At 41.8% G+C, this 21,841-nt stretch overlaps 1 protein-coding gene and 1 non-coding gene across 8 annotated transcripts in view; both read right to left on the reverse strand.

Moving 5' to 3' along the window:
• Nucleotides 1-21,841, reverse strand: part of C12orf56 (chromosome 12 open reading frame 56) — a 125,997-nt gene that overhangs the window by 79,387 nt on the left and 24,769 nt on the right. For all 7 annotated transcript variants that reach the window (NM_001099676.3, NM_001170633.2, XM_047428257.1 and 4 more), the window contains exon 2: nucleotides 8,746-8,908. In NM_001099676.3, the coding sequence (NP_001093146.1) occupies nucleotides 8,746-8,908 (163 nt within the window). The remainder of the gene's footprint in view (nucleotides 1-8,745; nucleotides 8,909-21,841) is intronic.
• LOC124903101 (small nucleolar RNA U13) lies at nucleotides 11,614-11,717 on the reverse strand. The gene has a single exon (XR_007063638.1). It is a non-coding gene; the product is annotated as a small nucleolar RNA U13 (small nucleolar RNA).

Genomic DNA, 21,841 nt, shown 5'->3' on the forward strand with positions numbered 1-21,841 from the left:
AATGCACAGTTACCCTGCTAAAAGGTCACAGGTCTCCTGGGGGAAGGATGGGAGAAAGATTCACTGCATAAATTGTTGGTAATGTAGTGGGGTCCTTCCTTAAGGGGACATGACCTCCCCTTCATTCAAGGGGTTCTGGGTCTGTAAACTGGCTCAAATCTGGAAACTGATTAAGAGGCCATGATCCTCTGTTTTCATAATTCAAATTAGTCTTTTGTCCATTCGACCTAGAAGTTTTCTGCTTATATAAATTAAGTAGGAATGCAGTAGGCTTCCTATTAATTTCATTTCTAAGAACACCGTGGTTAATTAGCCAATGCCACAACTCTATGTGAGTCAGACTATTCTGATTGTTTTGCCTCTGCTGTCCATTATGGTAACTATGCCCACCTTGCCTTTGACAGTTGAGTGCTGCCACTTGGCCACTGCCACCTCGGGATCCAATTATTCCCATTGTATTTAAATTTCATAGTTGAGTGACTGCAGTTCCCACCGTTAGATCTGACATACAGAGAAGAGCAATTACAGGGCTCTTCAAAGATGCAGGTGCTGCCCTCACACATCTATTTCACAAGGCATTGGTCAAGGGTATATCTTCTGGACCCTCCCAGCTGGGATGAGTAGCTCTAAAATGACTAATCCACTCCACCATCCCAAACTCCCTAAGCCTTTGGATGCCTTCCCCTACATTAAACCAAGGGAGATGAGGCATTTCCGGCTCACTCACAGTGGGCCATCGTTTAATCCATATTTCAGCTAACCAAGCAAATAAACTATTAGAACCTTTTTTAACTCCCTGAGCTGCAACATTAAACGCAGAGTCCCTACTTAGTGGGGCCAAATCAATAAATTCAGCCTGATCCAACTCTATGTTCCTTCCACCATTATCCCACACCCTTAATATCCATTCCCATGTCTGTTCTCCAGATTGTTGTTTAAAAAAATTAGAAAACTCATGAGGTTCTTTTTGAATGTAGCACACCTCCTTATGGGGTCATACTCTCAACCTCCAGGGGCCTACGGGGACTTTAGTTATAGGTCTACAAGCAAACAGGAACATTGGGGGGTGGGTCCTGAGGAGAGTCAACATTATTTTGCCTGGCAACTGCCTCAGGGGAGGCCATCACTGTTGCCTCAGGGGAGGCCATCACTGTTGCCTCAGGCAGTGCAGGATTTATCTCCTCAGGCAAAGGTGGAAAGACTGATGGCAGCATGGATCAGGGATGGGATGTTGCCATTACTGGGGCTAGGGAAGCTGTTTCTTCTGGCAAAAAAAAGTTCATCAGAGTTTACAAACTCAGTGTCCCCAACTTCATCAGGGTCCTCCCACACATTCCCATTCCAAGTTGCAGGGTCCCTTTCTTTTCCAGTCAATGCCCTAACTTTAACAGTAGACACCTGGTGAAGCTGTGCATGTATCTTCCATTGCAGGTCAGCGACTTGCATGATAAGAGCTTGTGTCTGTTTTTCCACAATTGTAGCTCTTTCACTATAGGAGATAAGACTCTCACTCAGGGCAATCTAAGCAGACTAGAGGTTCAGTATCTGCTTCTGACGCTGGTAGATAGAATCCCTGAGTTTATCATTTTCTTTCATCACTTTGTCTGCAGAATTTAGGAGCAACCAACAAGCTTCATTATGTTCCTTGGTTGTCTACATAATACTTCATACAAATGTAGTATGCATAGAGTCACTAAACTCCTTGTCTCTCATGAGCGATGAATCAAGAATGTCAAATGCATTTATTTTGCACTCTCTAAACAGTTTATGCCAAGGACTATCAGTGCTCTCCATACTATTAGAAGTAGAGTCCTTAGCATTTTTTGGTCTAAGCATGTAAAGCAGTCAACTCCAGAAACCCCAAAACCAATGAAAGAACTCCATCCTTAATATTCAGTTCCTCTAGAACCACTCCTGGTACCAAAATTTGTATTAGTCAGGGTTCTCTAGAGGGACAGAACTAATGGAATATATACATATACAAAGGGGAGTTTGGTAGGTATTAACTCACATGATCACAAGGTCCCACACTAGGCTGTCTATAGGCTGAGGAGCAAAGAGAGTCAGACCGAGTTCAAAACTGAAGAACCTGGAGCCCGACGTTCGAGGGCAGGAAGCATCCAGCACAGGAGAAAGATGTAGGCTGAGAGGCTAGGCGAGTCTCTCTTTTCACATTTTTCTGCCTGCTTTATATTCTAACCTCACTGGCAGCTGATTAGATTATGCCCACCCAGATAAAGGGTGGGTCTGCCTTCCCCAGCCCACTGACTCAAATGTTAATCTCCTTTGACAACACCTTCACACACATACCCAGGATCAAAACTTTGCATCCTTCAATTCAATCAAGTTGACACTCAGTATTAATCATCATAGTGCCCAACCCATTTAAAAATTTTTATGGAGGTTTCATTAAGTAGGCATGAGTTATTAAATCATGGGTCACTGGTGATCATCTCAATCTCTAGTCCCTCTCCATCCCAGGAGGTTAGAGATGTGGGTGGCAGTAGAGGAGGAGTGAAAGTTCTAACTCTCTAATCACATGATTGGTTCCTCTGGCAACCAGCCCCATCCTGAAGCTATCTAGAGGCCCACCAAGTGTCATCTCATTAGCATTTGTTCTATTGTTGAAAGGAGCTTGTTATGAATAACAAACAATGTTCTTATCACTCAGGAAATTCTAAATGTTTCAGAAGCTCTGTGTGAGGAACTAGGCACAAGGACCACTGCACTCCAGTCTGGGCAACAAATTAAGACACGGTCTGAAAAAGAAAATATCTATATCTATACCTATATCTATATATATATCTATCTATATCTGTCTATCTAGTTACATTTTTTTTTTTGAGATGGAGTCTCGCTCTGTCTTGCCCAGGCTGGAGTGCAGTGGCACGATCTCAGCTCACTGCAGCCTCCACCCCCTCGGTTCAAGTGATTCTCCTGCCTCAGCCTCCCAAGGAGCTGGGACTACAGGTGTGTGCCACCACACCCAACTAATTTTTTTGTATTTGTAGTAGAGACGGGGTTTTACCATGTTGGCCAGTCTGGTCTTGAACTCCTGACCTCAAGTGATCTACCCACCTCAGCCTCCCAAAGTGCTGAGATTACAGGTGTGAGCCACCATGCCCAGCCTAGTAACTTTTTTTTTTTTTTTTTTTGAGACAGAGTCTTGCTCTGTCTCCCAGGCTGGAGCACAGTGGCATGATCTCGGCTCACTGCAACCTCAACCTCCTGGGTTCAAGCAATTCTCCTACCTCAGTCTCCTGAGTAGCTGGGATAACAGGTGCATGCCACCACGCCTGGCTAATTTTTGTATTTTTAGTAGAGACAGAGTTTCACCATATTGGTCAGGCCAGTCTCGAACTCCTGACTTCATGATCCTTGGCCTTCCAAAGTGCTGGGATTACAGGCTTGAGCCACTGTACCCAGCCTAACTTCCCTGTTTTCTAGAGACAGGGTCTCACTCTGTCCCCCAGGATGGATCTTCTTCTACCTGTCTCTCTAGTTATATATGTGTTGAGTGTGTGATGTCTATAAAAAGAGATCTAATTAATTGACCTAAGGAAGGATAAGCACTTGGATCAAATACGTTTTAAAGGGAAGACAAAAGCTGTGGTACCTTTTAGTTTATGTAACTTTAATCTTTGAGAAATAAAAACAGTCTTAAAGATTATTGGCAAAATGCAGATGTCATCAAAATATAAATTTTTGCCTAGCGTTAAAGGATTGTTTTGAATTAGATAAGATAAACCTAAAAATTTGAACAAGTTGTGGAATGATTGTAAGAATTAATCTTGTGAAAGAAATTCTGTGTGTGAACAGATTAACTAAATTCAAAAGGCTATTACATGGACTGGGCATGGTGGCTCATGCCTGTAATCCTAGTACTTTGGGAGGCCAAGGCAAGCAGATCACCTGAAGACAGGGGTTGGAGATCAGCCTGGTCAACATGGCAAAACCCCATCTCTACTAAAAATAAAATATGAGCCAGGTGTGGTGGTATATGCCTGTAATCTAAGCTACTCAGGAGGCTGAAGCAGGAGAATTGCTTGAACCTGGGAGGCAGAAGTTGCAGTGAGCTGAGATCATGCTGTTGCACTCCAGCCTAGGCAACAGAGCAAGACTCCATATGAAAAAAAAGCAGGGGTAGGGGGGTATTATATGGTTTTTCTGCAAATTGAGAATTAAAATAAAAGCACAACAAGGTACTCTTAAGGCACTAATCTGCTCTTCAGCAAAATTTATAAAGGATTGTAAAAGGTTTTTGCTTTTTAAAAAATGTCCAAGTCATCATTTTGGCAAAATAAATAACTTAAGGTAATCTGGTATTCTATTTCATAACATCAAGTGCTTTAACACTCTAACATATTTAACAGTCTTCCCCAAATCAAACTTCAGTTTCAAAATTGTCTTTCTTGATGGCTAGCTTTTGGATGCTACAGAGGGCCCCTGGGGCATACAGAAGAGAGGTAAACAGGATTACCTGATATGTTTAGGTACATGGGTATGTTTAATCTTCCTCAGGTTATATTTTAGGGAATAATATTAATATATGTTCCAAAATTTATGGGATTTCTAAAATTCTAATGTCTGAGTATAGGCTATCAATCACAATTAAGGTTGTTATGTTAAGTTTTTTGTCTTGTCTTGATCCTCTTCAAAGGATGGTTTATAATCAGCTATAGAACTTTGACAGATGCTCTCAAATTCAGGTTTCTGATAACTTTTGAGATTGTGACATTGGAATAAAAGAAAAACGTAAGGACTCATGAAGAGCTGAATTGTCCACAAATATCAAGCAAAACAAGAGTTAACTGAATGGACTGAACTAATGGAAAACTGAAGTAATTATTTTTTTCTTTTTTGAGACAGAGTCTCACTCTGCTGCACAGCCTGGAGTGCAATGGTGTGATCTCAGCTGACTGCAACCTCTGCCTCCCAGGTTCAAATGATTCTCCTGCCTTCACAATCTATACATCTGACAAAGGACTAATATCCAGAATCTACTACGAACTCAAATGAATTAGCAAGAATAAAACAATCCTATCAAAAAGTGGGTTAAGGATATGAATAAACAATTCTCAAAAGAAGATACACAAATGGCCAACAAACATATGAAAAAATGCTCAAGATCACTAATGATCAAGGGAAAGCAAAACAAAACCACAATGCAATACCACTTTACTTCTGCAAGAATGGCCATAATCAAAAAATCAATAGATGCTGGCATGGATGCAGTGATCAGGGAACACTTTTACACTGCTGGTGGGAATGTAAACTTGTACAGCAACTATGGAAAACTGTGGAGATTCCTTAAAGAACTAGAAATAGAACTACCATTAGATCCAGCAATCCCACTGCTGGACATCTACCCAGTGGAATAAAAGTCTTTATATGAAAAAGATATTTGCACACACATGTTTATAGTGGTACAATTCACAATTGCAAAATTGCGGAACCAACCCAAATGCCCATCAATCAATGAGTGGATAAAGAAACTGTGGAATACTACTCACCCATAAAAAGCATTCACAGTGACCTGGATGAGATTGGAGACTATTATTCTAAGTGAAGTAACTCAGGAATGGAAAAGCAAACATTGTACATTTTCACTGATTTGTGGTAGCTAACCTATGAGGATACAAAGGCATAAGAATGATATAATGGGCTGGGAATGGTGGCTCACGCCTGTAATCCTGACACTTTGGGAGGCCAAGGCAGGCATATCACAAGGTCAGGAATTCGAGACCAGCCTGGCCAACATGGTGAAACCCTGTCTCTACTAAAAATACAAAAATTACTCAGGCATGGTGGTGGGTGCCTGTAATCTCAGCTACTCAGGAGGCTGAGGCAGGATAATTGCTTGAACCCAGGAGGTGGAGGTTGCAGTGAGCCAAGATCATGCCATTGCACTCCAGCCTGGGTGACAGAGCAAGACTCAGTCTCAGAAAAAAAAAAAAAAAAAAGAATGATACAACGGACTTTGGGAACTTAGGGGGAAGGGTAGGAGGGAGGTGAGGAATAAAAGACTACAAATTGGATGCAGTGTATACTGCTTGGGTGATGGGTGCACCAAAATCTCACAAATTACCACTAAAGAACTTACTCATATAACCAAATATGACCACTAAAGAGCTTACTCATGTAACAAAATATGACCTGTACCCCAATAACCTATGGAAAAAATAAAGAAAAATGAAATTCAAGTTTGAATACGTCATTGCATTAGTTTGATAGGGCTGCAGTAATAACGTACCACAGAGTGGCTTAAAAAAAATCTATTTTCTTTGCAATAGGATGCAACTGGAGAAACTGGTTGTTTTACCAAGGCTTTGACTGGAAGAGTATGCTTCCCTTTAAGGAGTCAAGCTTGACTTGCAGAGCTGATAAAAGCCTCTTGGGAAAACTGGCCTGATACATTGTCTATACAGTCCCCATACAGGGTTCCTAATTTGTGGTGAGTAAAGAATATCACTTTCTAACAGTTCCAGGAATCCCATGCTCTTGGGACCTCAAAAGGAGAGGAGTTTACTCAACTTACAGGTATTTGAGAGTAAAAGCCCCTGGCTGGGCTCAGTTTTAGGAAGTCTTATCTGAGATTCCTTGTGGAACAGAGTTTCATCAAAACCAATCTAAAAAGCCTATGTAAAAATAATTATCTTTGCTGCACTTTATGCAAATAATCAGGCCAAATATAAGACTAAAGTCTATTTTGCAAACAACTCAGTCCTATCATGATTTGTTTTTAACAAAAAATGAGGACTGGGGAGAAAGAAATTATATTTCAAAACTTATACATTTGTCATGAAATTCTAGACTTTTTAGATAAGCTGTTTTTAAGTTTTTGCCTACATTTTAGACTAACCCTGTTTATTCCTGTGAACCAACCAGCAACCTCTGGCCATAGCTCATAAGGAACAAAAGTGGATGGGTAATGTAAAAATCTGGATCAATATTCTAGTTCTGAGAAACTATCCCACACATCCTGCCATTTGGGAAAATAAGGCCAAGGGAGTTAACCAAAGCCAAGCCCCATGCACCCAAATCTTAGCAAGCATAAATATAGCCACCACTCATCTGGGCATGTCACAAGACATCCTTTTCTCTCACTTGTTAGAGGAGGACTCAATTCCACAGTTACACCTTAGCAATCAGCTTATGATAAGGAGTCTATGCAACCCCCTCCCCTGCAGACACATTTTTGTCCCAAACTCAATTCCAAGCTTTGGGTCAAAGCCCTAGGAAAGAAAGCAGGGTCTGAAGGATCCAGGTGCAGGCAATAACAGAAGTTAAAAGGCACAGCACAGGTGAGCGTGACTGATTCCTGCCAATTAAGCCAAGCTTCGCAATTCATGGATAAAGGTCATGCTGATATCCATGGCATAAATGAAGGGAACTCGACGGCTACTGACAGCAGGGGATATAGGGTGTACATGAGTAAGAGCATATATTCCCAGCCCCTAGTCCTCCCTGTTAATGTCAGTGAAAGCCGCTTTGATACCCATGGATGGCACCCTGATGTGGTCCCTGAGACTCAGGGATACTAGGATGGAAGAAAGAGGGATGCCTCACTTTCTCTCCCTCATGTATACTGGGTATTCGCTAGGAAGAGATGGGAATGTGGGATGATGCCTCATTCCCCTCCTTCTATTAACAGAGGAGTAGCCATTCATCTTCAAGCTGTACCCCTTTCAAATGCAACCAGAAACCCTGGGACTCCTTTGGAAAAAAAAAAAGCCACTTTCTTTCCTCTTTCCTTCTCTGTCCTCGCTTCACAGATAGGAAATTGTATCTCTGTACTACAGGATACTCCCTTCGGATACATCCTTCAAACTGGGAAAAGTTAATTTCCCAAACCTTAAACTGGTTGGCTTAAGATTGGGCTCAGGGGAAGGGAGCCCAGAAGCCCAACATGCCAGCAAAAGAGTAAAAGGTTTTTTTGTTTTTGTTTTTGTTTTTTTTTTTTTTTTGTTTTTTTTTTTACCAGTCAGGCTTTTGGCTCCCCTCTCCCTGGGCAAACAAGTAAAAGACCTCAGGATCTTTGAGCTATCCTTACCCACCACCCTTGTTTCATTTTGATACATGTTTTCTAATATGCCAGTTTGTCTCTTCTCACTTTCAGGCCACCAAACTCCAAATGGTCATGCAACCAGAGCCCCAGAGGATGGCCCCTTCTACAGGGAACCCTGAGACAGGCCTCTGAGGGAGATCTGACTGCCATTTTCCCAAAACAGCGCCCCCTGTCAGCTGGAAGCAGTTAAGATCATTCTTCGTTCTTACCCTTATTCTTATTCTAATGGCAGCTAGATGTACTTCTTTAGACAGGGGAAAGATAGACGCAGGAGGAAGATAAGGGAACCTGCCCAGGGTCTTGTCTGGGTGTGCCCGCAATGGATGGGGGTGCCCACATGTGCACTGGGAGAGTAGGGTTAGAGCCACCAGGAGTTCGAGCCTTGTGCAGGAGGATGAGCCTCGCCTCTTCAGCTCTTGCATGTGGCAGACTGATATTCAATCTGTGAGGTGAGAGCCAGTTGGCCAGACCCCTTTTTTTCACTGAGAGCTTTCTTTTAATAAATCCCACTGTCCGCATCTTTCAATGTGTCCCCATGCCTAAATTTTCCTGGCTGCGTGATAGGAACCTGGATTTTAACTGAACTAAGAAGCAAAATATCCTGCATCAATTTTAAGAAATATATATATATACTTTTTTTTTTGCCTTAGATCCAGAGACAGATTGGAAGTACCTACCTTTCTTGTTGTTAGCTTTAGTATGATGAAATGGAAATAGGAATTTCCTGACACTGTTTGACTTTTTACACTCTTTTTTCAAAACGGTTGAAGAATAGATGATACGAATGTGTTGGCTGATTTCTCTATCTGGCGAACTCAAAAATTCCGGGTAATCATCAATCTGGAAAAAAAATTAATTCACCTCATTGAAGACAAATACAACTGCTTACCTATTTTGGTATAATAAATCCCCCAAAGCTAACAGCAAGTTTTTTTTTTCCACATATATATATATTTTTCAAAACGGAGTCTCACCCTGACACCCAGGCTAGAGTGCAGTGGTGCGATCTCAACTCATTGCAACCTCCACCTCCTGGGTTCGAGTGATTCTCCTGCCTCAGCCTCCTGAGTAGCTGGGATTACAGACATGAGCCACCACACCTGGCTAATTTTTGTATTTTTAGTAGATACAAGGTTTAACCATGTTGGCCAGGCTGGTCTCGAATTCCTGACCTTAAGTGATCGCCCACCTCGGCCTCCCACAGTGCTGGGATTACAGGCATAAGCCACCGCAAAGTTTAAACTGAGTTCTTTTTTTTTTTCCCCTTCATTTTATCCACTTGGACATCTTCCTTTTCTTATTGTTAGGTTTCCCAATTATTTCTCTATTTGTTTTAGTCCTTACCAAAAATGTGCTCGACAACAGAACCCAAGAAACTATTTACACTATAGAATTGCTACATAAACACTAAGTGTTTTGTTACAGTATTTGTTAAAGTACATCCCTCTCCACTTCCATTTTATTTTATTTATTTTTTGTTGTTGAGATGGAGTCTCTCTCTGTCGCCCAGCCTGGAGTGCAATGGCACAATCTCCGCTCACTACAACCTCCACCTCCTGGGTTCAAGCAATTCTCGTGCCTCAGCCTCCCAAGTAACTGGAGTTACAGGCACCTGCGATCACGCCCAGCTAATTTTTGTATTTTTGTAGAGATGGGGTTTCACCATGTGGGACAGGCTGGTCTTGAACTCCTGACTTAAGGTGATCCACCTGCCTCGGCCTCCCAAAGTGCTGGGATTATAGGCGTGAGCCACCGTGCCTGGTCCACTTCCATTTTAAAAATAATTTTTTCATAAAGGTCTCAAAAATGTATAATTAATTGATTTTACACTAAGATTTTTCTATGCAGGAGACAATGTCCATTTATAGGTAACAGCTCATAGAGATTCTGGGAAGACAAACATCTAGGTTTGAACTACTGGAAATGTCCTTCTCTCCAACGTGCTCTGTTCTCTATTCTGGATAAAAAAGGGAAAAGGTCTCAATAAATAGATAGGACATTTAGATCTTCTCTGCAACAGCCTACTTCACTTTCTATGACAAGCAGCAATAACATTTGATTGAAAAGCTAAGAGTGAGACAGGCATAATGGTGCCCACCTGTGGTCTCAGCTACTCTGGAGGCAGAGGCAGGGGAATCACTGGAGCCCAGGAGTTGAGGCTGTAGTGTGCCATGATCTGTGCAGTGCACTTGTCTGTGACCACTATAACCCACTCTGAGCAACATAGCAAGATCCCATCTCTCTTTTTTTTTTATTTTGAGATGGAGTCTTGCTCTTGTTGCCCATGCTGGAGTGCAATGACATGATCTCAGCTCACTGCAACCTTCGCCTCCCAGGTACAAGCGATTCTCCTGCCTCAGCCTCCGGAGTATCTGGGATTACAAGCGCCTGCCACCACGCCTGGCTAATTTTTTGTATTTTTCGTAGAGATGGGGTTTCACCATGTTGGCCAGGCTGGTCTCGAACTCCTGACCTCAGGACCTCAGGTGATCCATCCGCCTCAGCCTCCCAAAGTGCTGGGATTACAGGCGTGAGCCACCGCACCTGGTCTACTCCCACCTTTTAAAAAAGAGATGGGGTTGCCAGGTGCGGTGGCTCACGCCTGTAATCCCAGAGCTTTGGGAGGCTGAGGCCAGTGGATCGCCTGAAGTCAGGAGTTCGAGACCAGCCTGACCAACATGGTGAAACCGTGTCTGTACTAAAATACAAAAATTAGCTGGGTGTGGTGGTGCATGCCTGTAGTCACAGCTACTCAGCAGGCTGAGGCAGGAGAATCGCTTGAACCCTGGAGGTGGAGGTTGCAGTCAGCTGAGATTGCACCACTGCGCTCCAGCCTGGGGAACAAAGTGAGACTCCGTCTCAAAAAAAAAAAAAAAAAAAAAAAAAGAGGTGCAGGTCAGGCAGAATTCCTGTATAAGTTTTTTGAGAGTACCTAGAATTTAGATAAAAATGTTTCCTGTGATCATGCAGTTTCATTTTTCTTTTCACAAATATAAGAAAGAAATATCAAGTAATACAATTTATAAAATCTAAATCAAAGTAATTGAAGATAGGAAGATGAATTAATAAAAAGCTAACAATATCTACTCAAATTCAATTTTTAAAAATTATTTTCAAATAGGTAGAGTAATTCAAACCAGTTAATGAATTTGTACCTGAAATCACCACTCAACTTTCTCTGACTTAGGCTAAACAATTTTAATTCCATTAGTCTTATTTATTTTTATGATTTGAACAGTAATTTAATTTTAAATTTTTTTGAGATGGTCTCAAAAAATTAGAAAAAATGTAAATTTGTGCTCAATATAATGAAATCATTATTCTGATAGATTTTTATTTCAACTTTATGTTTTATAATATCTCAGATTGAAGATAATTTCCAAGATCCTTAGGTAACTTAAAGCCTTGGGCAGATATTAAATTGACTTAATAGATAATCATCAGACACCAAGATAATTCCTAAGTAAGAGAGAATACTGAAACATTGGCTACTTGAGCATTATTTTAAGTGTATATACATATAGTTTTGTTTTTTCTTCTTCTCATGTCAGATGGGTAATGTGCCTACATCATAACAAGCTTTAAGGGTGGTACATCTCACACATGAGTGTGAAAACCCAATCACCATGCTTATGAACTTCAAAAGGATAAAAAATACATAAACTTGCCTGGGCATGGTGGTTCACACCTGCAATTCCAGCACTTTGGGTGGCCCAGCTGGGCAGATCACAAGGTCAGGAGTTTGAGACCAGCGTGGCCAACATGGTGAAACCCCATCTCCACTAAAGATACAAAAAATTAGCCAGGTGTGGTGGTGTGCATCTGTAATCCCAGCTACTTGGGAGGCTGAGGCAGGAGAACTGCTTGAACCCGGGAGGTGGAGGTTGCAGTGAGCCGAGATCGTGCCATTGCACTTCAGCCTGGGCCTGTTGCCCAGGAGCAAGACTCCATCTCAAAAAAAAAAAAAAAAAAAAAAAAAAAAACCATACATTTAAGCTTATTTTTATATTTTACAGAGAGGTTATATATTTTGGTCATGTTAATGAATGTGCTCATTTACAAAGTTTCCATGCTGTGAAAGAGGTTCTTGTTAGAAACAAATGCTTGTTCCTCAGTGCTGAAAAGAACTAGTGCTCAGATAAAGAATTTTCTCAGCAAGGCAATTTTTACTTCCATAGAAGGGTGCAACTCGTGGATGGAGCAATGGCAAGAGCACACCTGAACAAGGGAGGGGAAGGGGTTCTTATTCCTGATGCAGGTAGCCCCTACTGCTGTGTCATTCCCCTGTTGGCTAGGGTTGGACCGCACAGTCTAAGCTAATTCCAATTGGCTAATTTAAAGAGAGCAGGAGTACAAGTCAGAGTGGTGGGGTGAGTAGTTTGGCAGGAAGGATGGTTACAGAACAGGTAAGTCAGGACGGAGCAGGTGACCAGGGGTGACTCAGGTCAAAGCAGGTGACCAGGGGAACAGATGTGAACTACTGATTAGAACAAGTGGGAAAGTTGTTTACTGAAACTAGAGGCAAGGGGGTGAAGAGAACCAAGAAGTTAAACTTTAAAATGGAGAACAGAGAATAAGAGAGCTGAACATACTAACATACTGATTCCTTGAAGAGAAGCTTGGAGTTCACTATATCTAACATTCTTTTCAAGCATGTTGCTTTCCATGTCTATTATTTAATGTTTTATTGTCACTTTGACTCACTAGGTAACCAGGCATTGTTTCTCAGGCACCCATGATTCTCTCTTAACCAAAAGTCAAAATCTCCTTTAATAAACACTTGATTTTTGCCTTCCCCAAATAAGATTCTAATTATAAGAAAGAAATATATTAAAATCTCAGGATATATTTTACACCTAAAACATCTTTGAGATTTATCAGCAGGCTCCTAAAAAAAAAAACACACAAAAATGTGGTCTTTCAACTTATGAAAAGAGGAGGCTGGAAATAATTTGGTCTATTTACTACTGTTTCACGGGAAGAATTGTCAAGTCCAAAGAGATGTTCAGTGTTCCTTAGCTTAAATTTGTATAGGTAAGTTCTTAAGTAAGTTGTATAACATAAATATTTCAGAAATTGTTTTATGGGAGATTTGTCAATGCTTTTATTGCCTATGTATCAGTCTTGGGGGTGCTTTGCCTTATTATATTAGACAACTGAAATATGTGTTAGCAATCATAATTTTTTCTTTTTTTTTTCTTTCTTTTTTTTTTTGAGACAGGGTTGAGCTCTGTAGCCAAGGCTGGAGTGCAGTCGTACAATCTCAGGTCACTGCAACCTCTGCCTCCCAGGCTCAAGTGATCCTCCCACCTCAGCTTCCTGAGTAGCTGAGACTACAGGCACATGCCACCAGGCTAGGCTAATTATTTTTACTTTTTTTTGTAGAGATGAGATCTCGGGCCAGGTGAGGTGGCTCACACCTGTAATCCCAACAGTTTCGGAGGCCAAGGCAGGTGGATCATTTGAGATCAGGAGTTCGAGGCCACCCTGGCCAACATAGTGAGACCCCCCCAATCTCTACTAAAAATGCAAACATTAGCGAGGCTTAGTGGCAAGTGCCTGTAATCCCAGCTAATCAGGAGGCTGAGGCAGAAGAATCGCTTGAACCTGGAGACAGAGGCTGCAGTGAGCCAAGACTGCTCCACTGCTCTCCAGCCTGGGTGACAGAGGGAGACTCCATCTCAAAAAAAAAGAAAAAGAAAAAGAAAAAGAAATAAAGAAAACAAAGCCACTTCTACATACCCTACAAAGCCTCCATCACTGTAAGGTGATATGTGATTACATTGATGGTTGTCACACAAACAAGGGGACATATTTGTGTATGTAAAAGGAGGGATGATGACAGGTGTGATAAAAAGAAACTATGAATAGTGCTAGTACCAAAAGATTACATACCAAAAGTACTATGATTTCTCATTTCCCCCTTTCTCTCTTATTGATTCATTTAGAAATCATAATCTCGGCTGGGCGCAGTGGCTCATACCTATAATCCCAACACTTTGGGAGGCCGAGGTGGGCGGATCACGAGGTCAGGAGTTCGAGACCAGCCTGGCCAACATGGTGTAACTCCGTCTATACTAAAAATACAAAAATTAGCCAGGCGTGATGGCATGCGCCTGTAATCCCAGCTACTCAGGAGACTGAGGCAGGAGAATCGCTGGAACCCAGGAGGTGGAGATTGCAATGAGCTGAGATCATGCCACTGCAATCCAGCCTGGGCAACACAGTAAGACTCCATCTCAAAAGTAATAATAATAATAATAATAATCATCATCATCATCATCATCATCATCTTGGCCAGGCATGATGGCTCAAGCCTGTGATTGCAGCACTTTGGGAGGCTGAGGCAGGTGCATCATCTGAGGTCAGGAGTTCGAGACCAGCCTGGCCAACGTGTTGAAACTCTTTCTCTACTAAAAATACAAAAATTAGCCAGGCATGGTGGTGCACACCTGTAATCCCAGCTACTCGGGAGGCTGAGGCAGGAGAATCACTTGAACCCAGGAGGGAGAGGTTGCAGTGAGCCAAGATCACGCCACTGCACTCCAGCCTGGGCGACACAGTGAGACTCCATCTCCAAAAAATAATAATAATAATCTCAGTTGCAAAACTTATGGTCACAAAATCATAGACAGAACAAAACTCTAACAGAAACATTTAATTCAACTTGGACTTAAGTAAAGAGGGCAAAGTGTTAGAGAAAGGAAGGTGGTTTCTTCTTCTTTTTCTTATTTGCTTATAATGGAGTTCAGGACATACTACTCCAAAATAGGGCGCTTCACCAGATTATTTTAAGCTGAAGGAACTTGAGGAATGACATGTACAGGAAGCACTTTTTGACCTTTCTCTGAAGCAGGTCATAAAATCTAGGAATAATTTTCTAACCTTCTTTTGATGCAGGTCATAAAACCCTCATGCGAAAGATGCCCTCCCTATATCCAGAGGAAAGGATAAAGTATCTGAACAGTTAGGCCTGTTTAGGCCTAACTTTCTCCAATTTGTTACACTGAGCTCATACTTTTTCTTTGTCCTATTATATTTCTCCATGACTTTCCTCTCTTCATCAAACCAAGCATAAAAACATTCAGGTTTAACCACTTCTTCAGATCTTCCTTTCCTTACAAAGGCTCCCATGTCACATAAAAAATAAATGTGTATGTTTTTCTCTTGTTAATCTATCTTTTGTTACCAGGGCCCCAAGCCAACGAACCTAAGATGGGTAGAAGGAAAAGATGTATTTCCTCCTTTATACTTTTAAAAATTAAAAAAAAATTCAAAAATAAAAATCTCTGTTTAAAAAATGTCTCTTTCTAAAGATCACAGCGTGTTTGTGAAGCCAGAGAGGACCACTCAGGAGCTAAGCAAGCCTAATTTACACATCTGTGCGGGGGTAAAGAGTTTTCTAAAAGCTTTTCCACTGTGAGCACTGAACAGGGCAGGAAGGCTTAATCCAAAGAACATGCTCTCAGTGCCTGTAGAAAGAAAAGAAGCTCTTTTATTATTATTATTTTTTTAAAGACAGAGTCTCGCTCTGTCACCCAGGCTGGAGTAGAGTGGCATAATCTTGGCTCACTGCAACCTCCTCTTCCTGGGTTCAAGCAATTCTCCCTGCCTCAGCCTCCTGAGTAGCTGGGATTACAGGCACCCATCAACATGTCCGGCTAATTTTTGTAGTTTTAGTAAAGATGGGGTTTCACCATGTTGGCCAGGCTGGTCTTGAACTCCTGACCTTAAGTGATCCGCCCACCTTGGCCTCCCAAAGTGCTGGGATTACAGGAGTGAGCCACTGCGTCCAGCGAAAAGAATTTCTTTAAAGGGACAAAGCTGAATTCAATCCCTTGTTAGCAATTTAGTTTAAACATGGTATTATTTGAAAGAAATATTTTTTTGCTTTACATCAGAGACATTTTTACAAAATTCAAAAACTGGCTGGGTGCGGTGGCTCACACCTGTAATCCCAGCACTTTGGGAGGCTGAGGCCAGCGATTGCATGAGGCCAGGAGTTCAAGACCAGCCTGGCCAGCATGGCGAAACCCCGTCTCTACTAAAAATACAAAAATTAGCTGGGCATGGTGGCAGGTGCCTGTAATCCCAGCTACTCGGGAGGCTGAGGCAGGAGAATCGCTTGAACCCGGGAGGTGGAGGTTGCAGTGAGCCAAGATCATGCCATTGCACCCTAGCCTGGGCGACAGAGCAAGACTCCATCTCAAAAAATAAAAAAGAAAATTCAAAAACCAAAGCTTCCATTTAACCCCAAAATGTGAAAACATATAGATAATAGGTAGGTAGGTAGATAGATGATAGATAGATGATAGATAGATAGATAGGATATTGTAATGATCCTATAAAATAATTTTAAAATTTTCTAACTGTCCTAAAATAAGCTCAAAGTACGGTGAGTAAAATTCTATTTTGCATGGCTATTTAGCTTATTTAGGTTGAAAATAAGTTAAGATTTCTCATGTTTCATATAACATTGAATTTGTTTTTAGGACTGTTTATGAAAGTTGAAAGAACTGCTTTTATCCAGACCCTTTTTAGCACAGGCAATAATATCTAAGTAATATATACCTGAAAATAATTTTAAAAGTCCAAATCAGGAAACATAGTTTTTTTTCCTAAGAATTGCCAACAAAAAACCTTTGGTATAACAATATATCACACCATTTATATACATTTGATAAATCAACTCTTTTAAGTGTAATTGCATAAAATTATTATTGGGACAGATGTGGTGTCATGCCTGTAATCCCAGAACTTTGGGAGGCCGAGATGGGCGTATCACTTGAAGTCGGGAGTTTGAGACTAGCCTGGCCAATGTGGTGAAACTGGTCTCTACTAAAAATACAAAAATGAGCCGGGTGTGGTGGCGTGCACCTGTAATCCCATCTACTCAGGAGGCTGAGGCAGGAGAATCGCTTGAACCCGGGAGGCAGAGACTGCAGTGAACTGAGATTGCGCCACTGCACTCCAGCCTGGAGACAAAGTGAGACTCCATCTCAGAAAAAGAAAATAAAAAAACAATTATTATTGAACCAGCACTGTATTTGTATGCCCCACCAATATAAATGGTAATGTTAGAGGTAATTGAACCAGAGCAACTCCATCTTGAATAAGGGCTGCGTAAAATGAGGCTGAGACCTGCTGGGCCACATTCCCAGGAGGTTAAGGCATCCTATAATAAGTCACAGGATGAGACAGGAGCTCAGCACAAGATACAGGTCATAAAGACCTTGCTGATAAAACAGCTTGCAGTAAAGAAGTCAGCTAAAACCCACCAAAACCAAGATGGTGATGAGAGTGACCTCTGGTTGTCCTCACTGCTACATTCCCACCAGTGCCACGACAGTTTACAAATGCCATGCCAACCTCAGAAAGTTACCCTATATAGTCTTAAAAAGGGAGGAATGAAAAATCCACCTTTTGTTTAGCATATAATCAAGAAATAACCATAAAAATGGGCAATCAGCAGCCTTTGGGGTTGCTCTGCCTATGGAGTAGCCATTCTCTTCTTCCTTTACTTTTTTTTTTTTGAGATGGAGTTTTGCTCTTGTTGCCCAGGCTGGAGTGCAATGGCACAATCTCGGCTCACCGCAACCTCCTCCTCCTGGGTTCAAGCAATTCTCCTGCCTCAGCCTCCCGAGTATCTGGGATTACAGGCATGCGCCACCACGCCCAGCTAATTTTGTATTTTTAATAGAGATGGGGTTTCTCCATGTTGGTCAGGCTGGTCTCAAACTCTTGACCTCAGGTCATCTGCCCACCTCGGCGTCCCAAGTGCTGGGATTACAGGCATGAGCCACCTTGCCTGGCCTACTCCTTTACTTTCTTAATAAATTTGCTTTCACTTTATGGACTCGCCTCGAATTCTTTCTTACACAACATCCAAGAACCCTTTCTTGGGGTCTGGATCGGGACCCCTTTCCAGTAACAGCAACTAGCTGTCTTTTCTCCTTAGAAACTGGGGCTGGGGAAGTTGGAGTTAGTTGCAAATGGTCTCCTAAATTCTCACTCCCTGTCATAAATTATAGTATTTTGTAATATTTGGCCTAAGACTTGCTTTGGAAGGAACTGTTACCGGAAAGTGGTCTCGATACAGAACCCAAGAGAGGGTTCATGGATCAGGCACAAGAAAGAATTCAGGGTGAGTCCACACTGCAAAGTGAAAGCAACTTTATTAACAAAGTAAACGAGGCCGGGCGTGGTGGCTCACACCTGTAATCCTAGCACTTTGGGAGGGTGAAGGGGGTGGATCACCTGAGGTCAGGAGTTCAAGACCAGCCTGGCCAATATGGTGAAACCCCATCTCTACTAAAAACACAAAAACTAGCAAGGCATGGTTTTGGGTGCCTGTAATCTCAGCTATTCAGGAGGCTGAGGCAGGAGAATCAGTTCAACCTGGGGGGCAGAGGTTGCAGTGAGCCAAGATTGCGCCATTGCACTCCAGCCTGGGTGACAGAACAAGACTCCATCTCAAAAAAGAAAAAGAAAGTAAAGCAATAAGAATGGCTACTCCACAGGCTACTCCATAAAAAAATAGCCAATTTATTTCTTGATTATATGCTAAACAGAGGGTGGATTATTCATGAGTTTTCTGGGAAAGGGGTGGGAAATTCCTGGAACTGAGGGTTTCTCCCCTTTTTAGACTATATAGGGTAACTTCCTGAGGTTGCCATGGCATTCGTAAACTGACATGTCACTGGTGGAGTGTAGCAGTGAGGACAACCAGAGGTCACCTCATCGCCATCTTGGTTTTGGTGGGTTCAGGCTGACTTCTTTATTGCAACCTGTTTTATCAGCAAGGTCTTTATGGTAAGACCTGTGTCTTGTGCTGACCTTCTGTCTCATGCTGTGACTTAGAATGCCTTAACCTCCTGGGAATGTGGCCCAGTAGGTCGCAGCCTCATTTTACGCAACTCCTATTCAAGGTGGAATTGTTCTGGTTTAAAAACCTCTGACAGTGCTGAATGTATAACCCTCAAGTGGTTTGGAACCAAGTGATGCACCAGCTACTATTCTTGAAATAAAATCTGGGCACTGAGAAAACTCTAAAACAACCATGTTACCTGCTGAAGGAAAACAAACATGCTAGCTCCCTAGCCAGGTGCACCTTCTCTCAATCTGTGAGGCTAAAAGGATAGGTAAGTGTGCAGGAAAGGGTTAATTCAGCAGGGTTGGGTTGTTTAAACACTGTACATTCCAAAGAAAGGCTTGAATCAGGACTGGCCTTTGACCCACGAGGGGGATATCATCTCGAAGCCTTGGAATATTCTACTCCATAAAAGTGTTTTGGGGCACACGCTAGGGGCCCCTTTGCGAGGAGGAGGAAGAGGGGAAATGGTTGCCAGAGGAGTTTCTTGAATTGTATTCTTTGGAACCAGCACCTACTATGTTCTCAATGCCGTGCCACCTATAGATGATCATGGGAATAGCCAGAGTAGTCACGTACAAATCTTTTTGCGGAAAAAGGTGCTTGAATGTGTGCCTAAATGTTCGAGTTTAGCACGAGGCCACCATTGGAACACTGATGACAGATCATGATGCGGTCGTCCTTTTGGATCTTTTTAATAATGTGTGACCCTTCACCTTTAATCCCCTGACCTGCATTACCTTGGTAGCCATTTCATTTTTTAATTTCATTTTTTACTTTTGGTGTACAAGCTGTAACATTTCATCTATCAAAGTGTAACATGATGATTTCCTCAAATAGATAACTCCTTTGAGCAATAAATTTGCAAAATGCTGTCTTCGTTTGCTGTATTAAAATTCATTTCCGTTTTTTCTTTCTTTTTTTTTTTTTAAAAAAGAGTGTTGGGCCAGGCACGGTGGCTCACGCCTGTAATCCCAGAACTTTGGGAGGCCGATGTGGGCAGATCACTTGAACCCAGGAGTTCCAGACTGGCCTGGGCAACATGGGGAAACTCTGTGTCTACTAAAAATACAAAAATTAGGCGGGTGTGATGGCATGTGCCTGTAGTCCCAGTTACTTGTGGGAGGTCGAGGTTGCAGTGAGCCGAGACTGAGCTACTGCACTCCAGCCTGGGCAATGAGAGTGAGACCCTGCCTCAAAAAACAAAACAAACAAAAACTTCTTAAATTTAAAAAAAAAAGTGTTTTTGCATGTCTGAAACCTTGGACCATACTGTACCAGTTGGACCAGATAGGTTTATCCTGACAATGTGATTTATTGTAAACACCTGTTTTTGCTCAAGGGTAGGGAGCAGTGAAGAGGCATTGGGGGTGCTGGCGTCTGAGTAACTGAAGTCACTCAGTCACTCATGCAGGCCTTGCATGCCTATGGGACTAATGGAACACCAAGGCTAAGGTGAGCTTCCCTGGTTGGCAACACTTTGTACATGTTGTCGCATGTTGCTGGGAGAAGTAAGCAGGTCTATGCTGCTCCACTGAAAAAGGACACTGTCAGTTTGTACCTAGTTTCTCTTAGATTTCATCCCATGCACCTTTTCCCTTTACTAACTTTAATCTGTATCTTTTCGCTGTAATAAATGTAGCTGTGAATATAAAAGCGTTTCTGAATCCTGTGAGTCCTTTCAGTGAATCATCAAGCAGGATGGCAGACTTGGGAGCCCCCTACACAGTGAGATAACCATACCCAGGCATGAGCCGTTGGCTGCCTAGACCACTCTCACCCCGCCTCCTTTGGGCACTGCATGGCTTTGTCCTACCCCAGGCCTAGAAGTCAGAGAGAAGTCAGCCCACTGCCCCATCCTTCCTCTTTAAAGGATTCATAAAAATTCTATCCTTGTGGCCAGATCCTCTCCAGCATGAAGATGGGGAAAGGAAAATAAATGAAATATTGAAACAATGTCACATAGAATATAAGAACTAACATTCATTGAACACTCATTACATGATCTTTTATGTGCTTTATAGGTGTTATATCATTTAATCCGCAGACAACTTCATCAGCTGTTAAAGCTGTTCCTTTTTTTTTTTTTTTTTTTTAGATGGAGTTTCGCTCCTGTTGCCCCGGCTGGAGTGCAGTGGCGCGATCTCGGCTCACTGCAACCTCCGCCTTCCGGTTTCAAGTGATTCTCCTGCTTCAGCCTCCCGAGTAACTGGGACTACAGGTGCCCGCCACCAAGCTCGGCTAATTTTTTTGTATTTTTAGTAGAGATGGGGTTTCACTATGTTGGCCAGGCTGCTCTCCAACTCCTGACCTCGTGATCTGCCCTCCTCAGTCTCCCAAAGTACTGGGATTACAGGGATGAGCCACCACGCCCGGCCGCTATTCCCATTTTATAAGGGAATACAAGGAACCTAAGGCTCAGAGAACTAAGTTACTTGCCCAAATTGCCACTGCTAATGAGTGGCAGACCAGAGATTCAAAATGAAGCCTATGCTCTCAACTTACACAAACTGACGCACAAAATACAAAACAGCAGGGCATGGTGGCTCATGCCTGTAATATCAGCACTTTGGGAGGCTCAGGTATATATAATATAATATATTCTATTATATAATACAATATATAGTTTATATAATATATAATATATAGTTTATATAATATATATAATATATAGTTTATATAATACATATAATAAATATATAATGTATATATTATGTATAATATATAGTGTATATATTATGTATAATATATAGTGTATATATTGTATTATATATAGTGTATATATTATACATTATATATAGTGTATATATTATACATTATGTATAGTGTATATATTATATATTATGTATAGTGTATATATTATATATTGTATATAGTGTATATAATATATAGCTTGTATAATA

This window comes from Homo sapiens, chromosome 12 (genome assembly GCF_000001405.40).
Source record: "Homo sapiens chromosome 12, GRCh38.p14 Primary Assembly".
NCBI classification, from domain to species: Eukaryota; Metazoa; Chordata; class Mammalia; order Primates; family Hominidae; genus Homo; species Homo sapiens.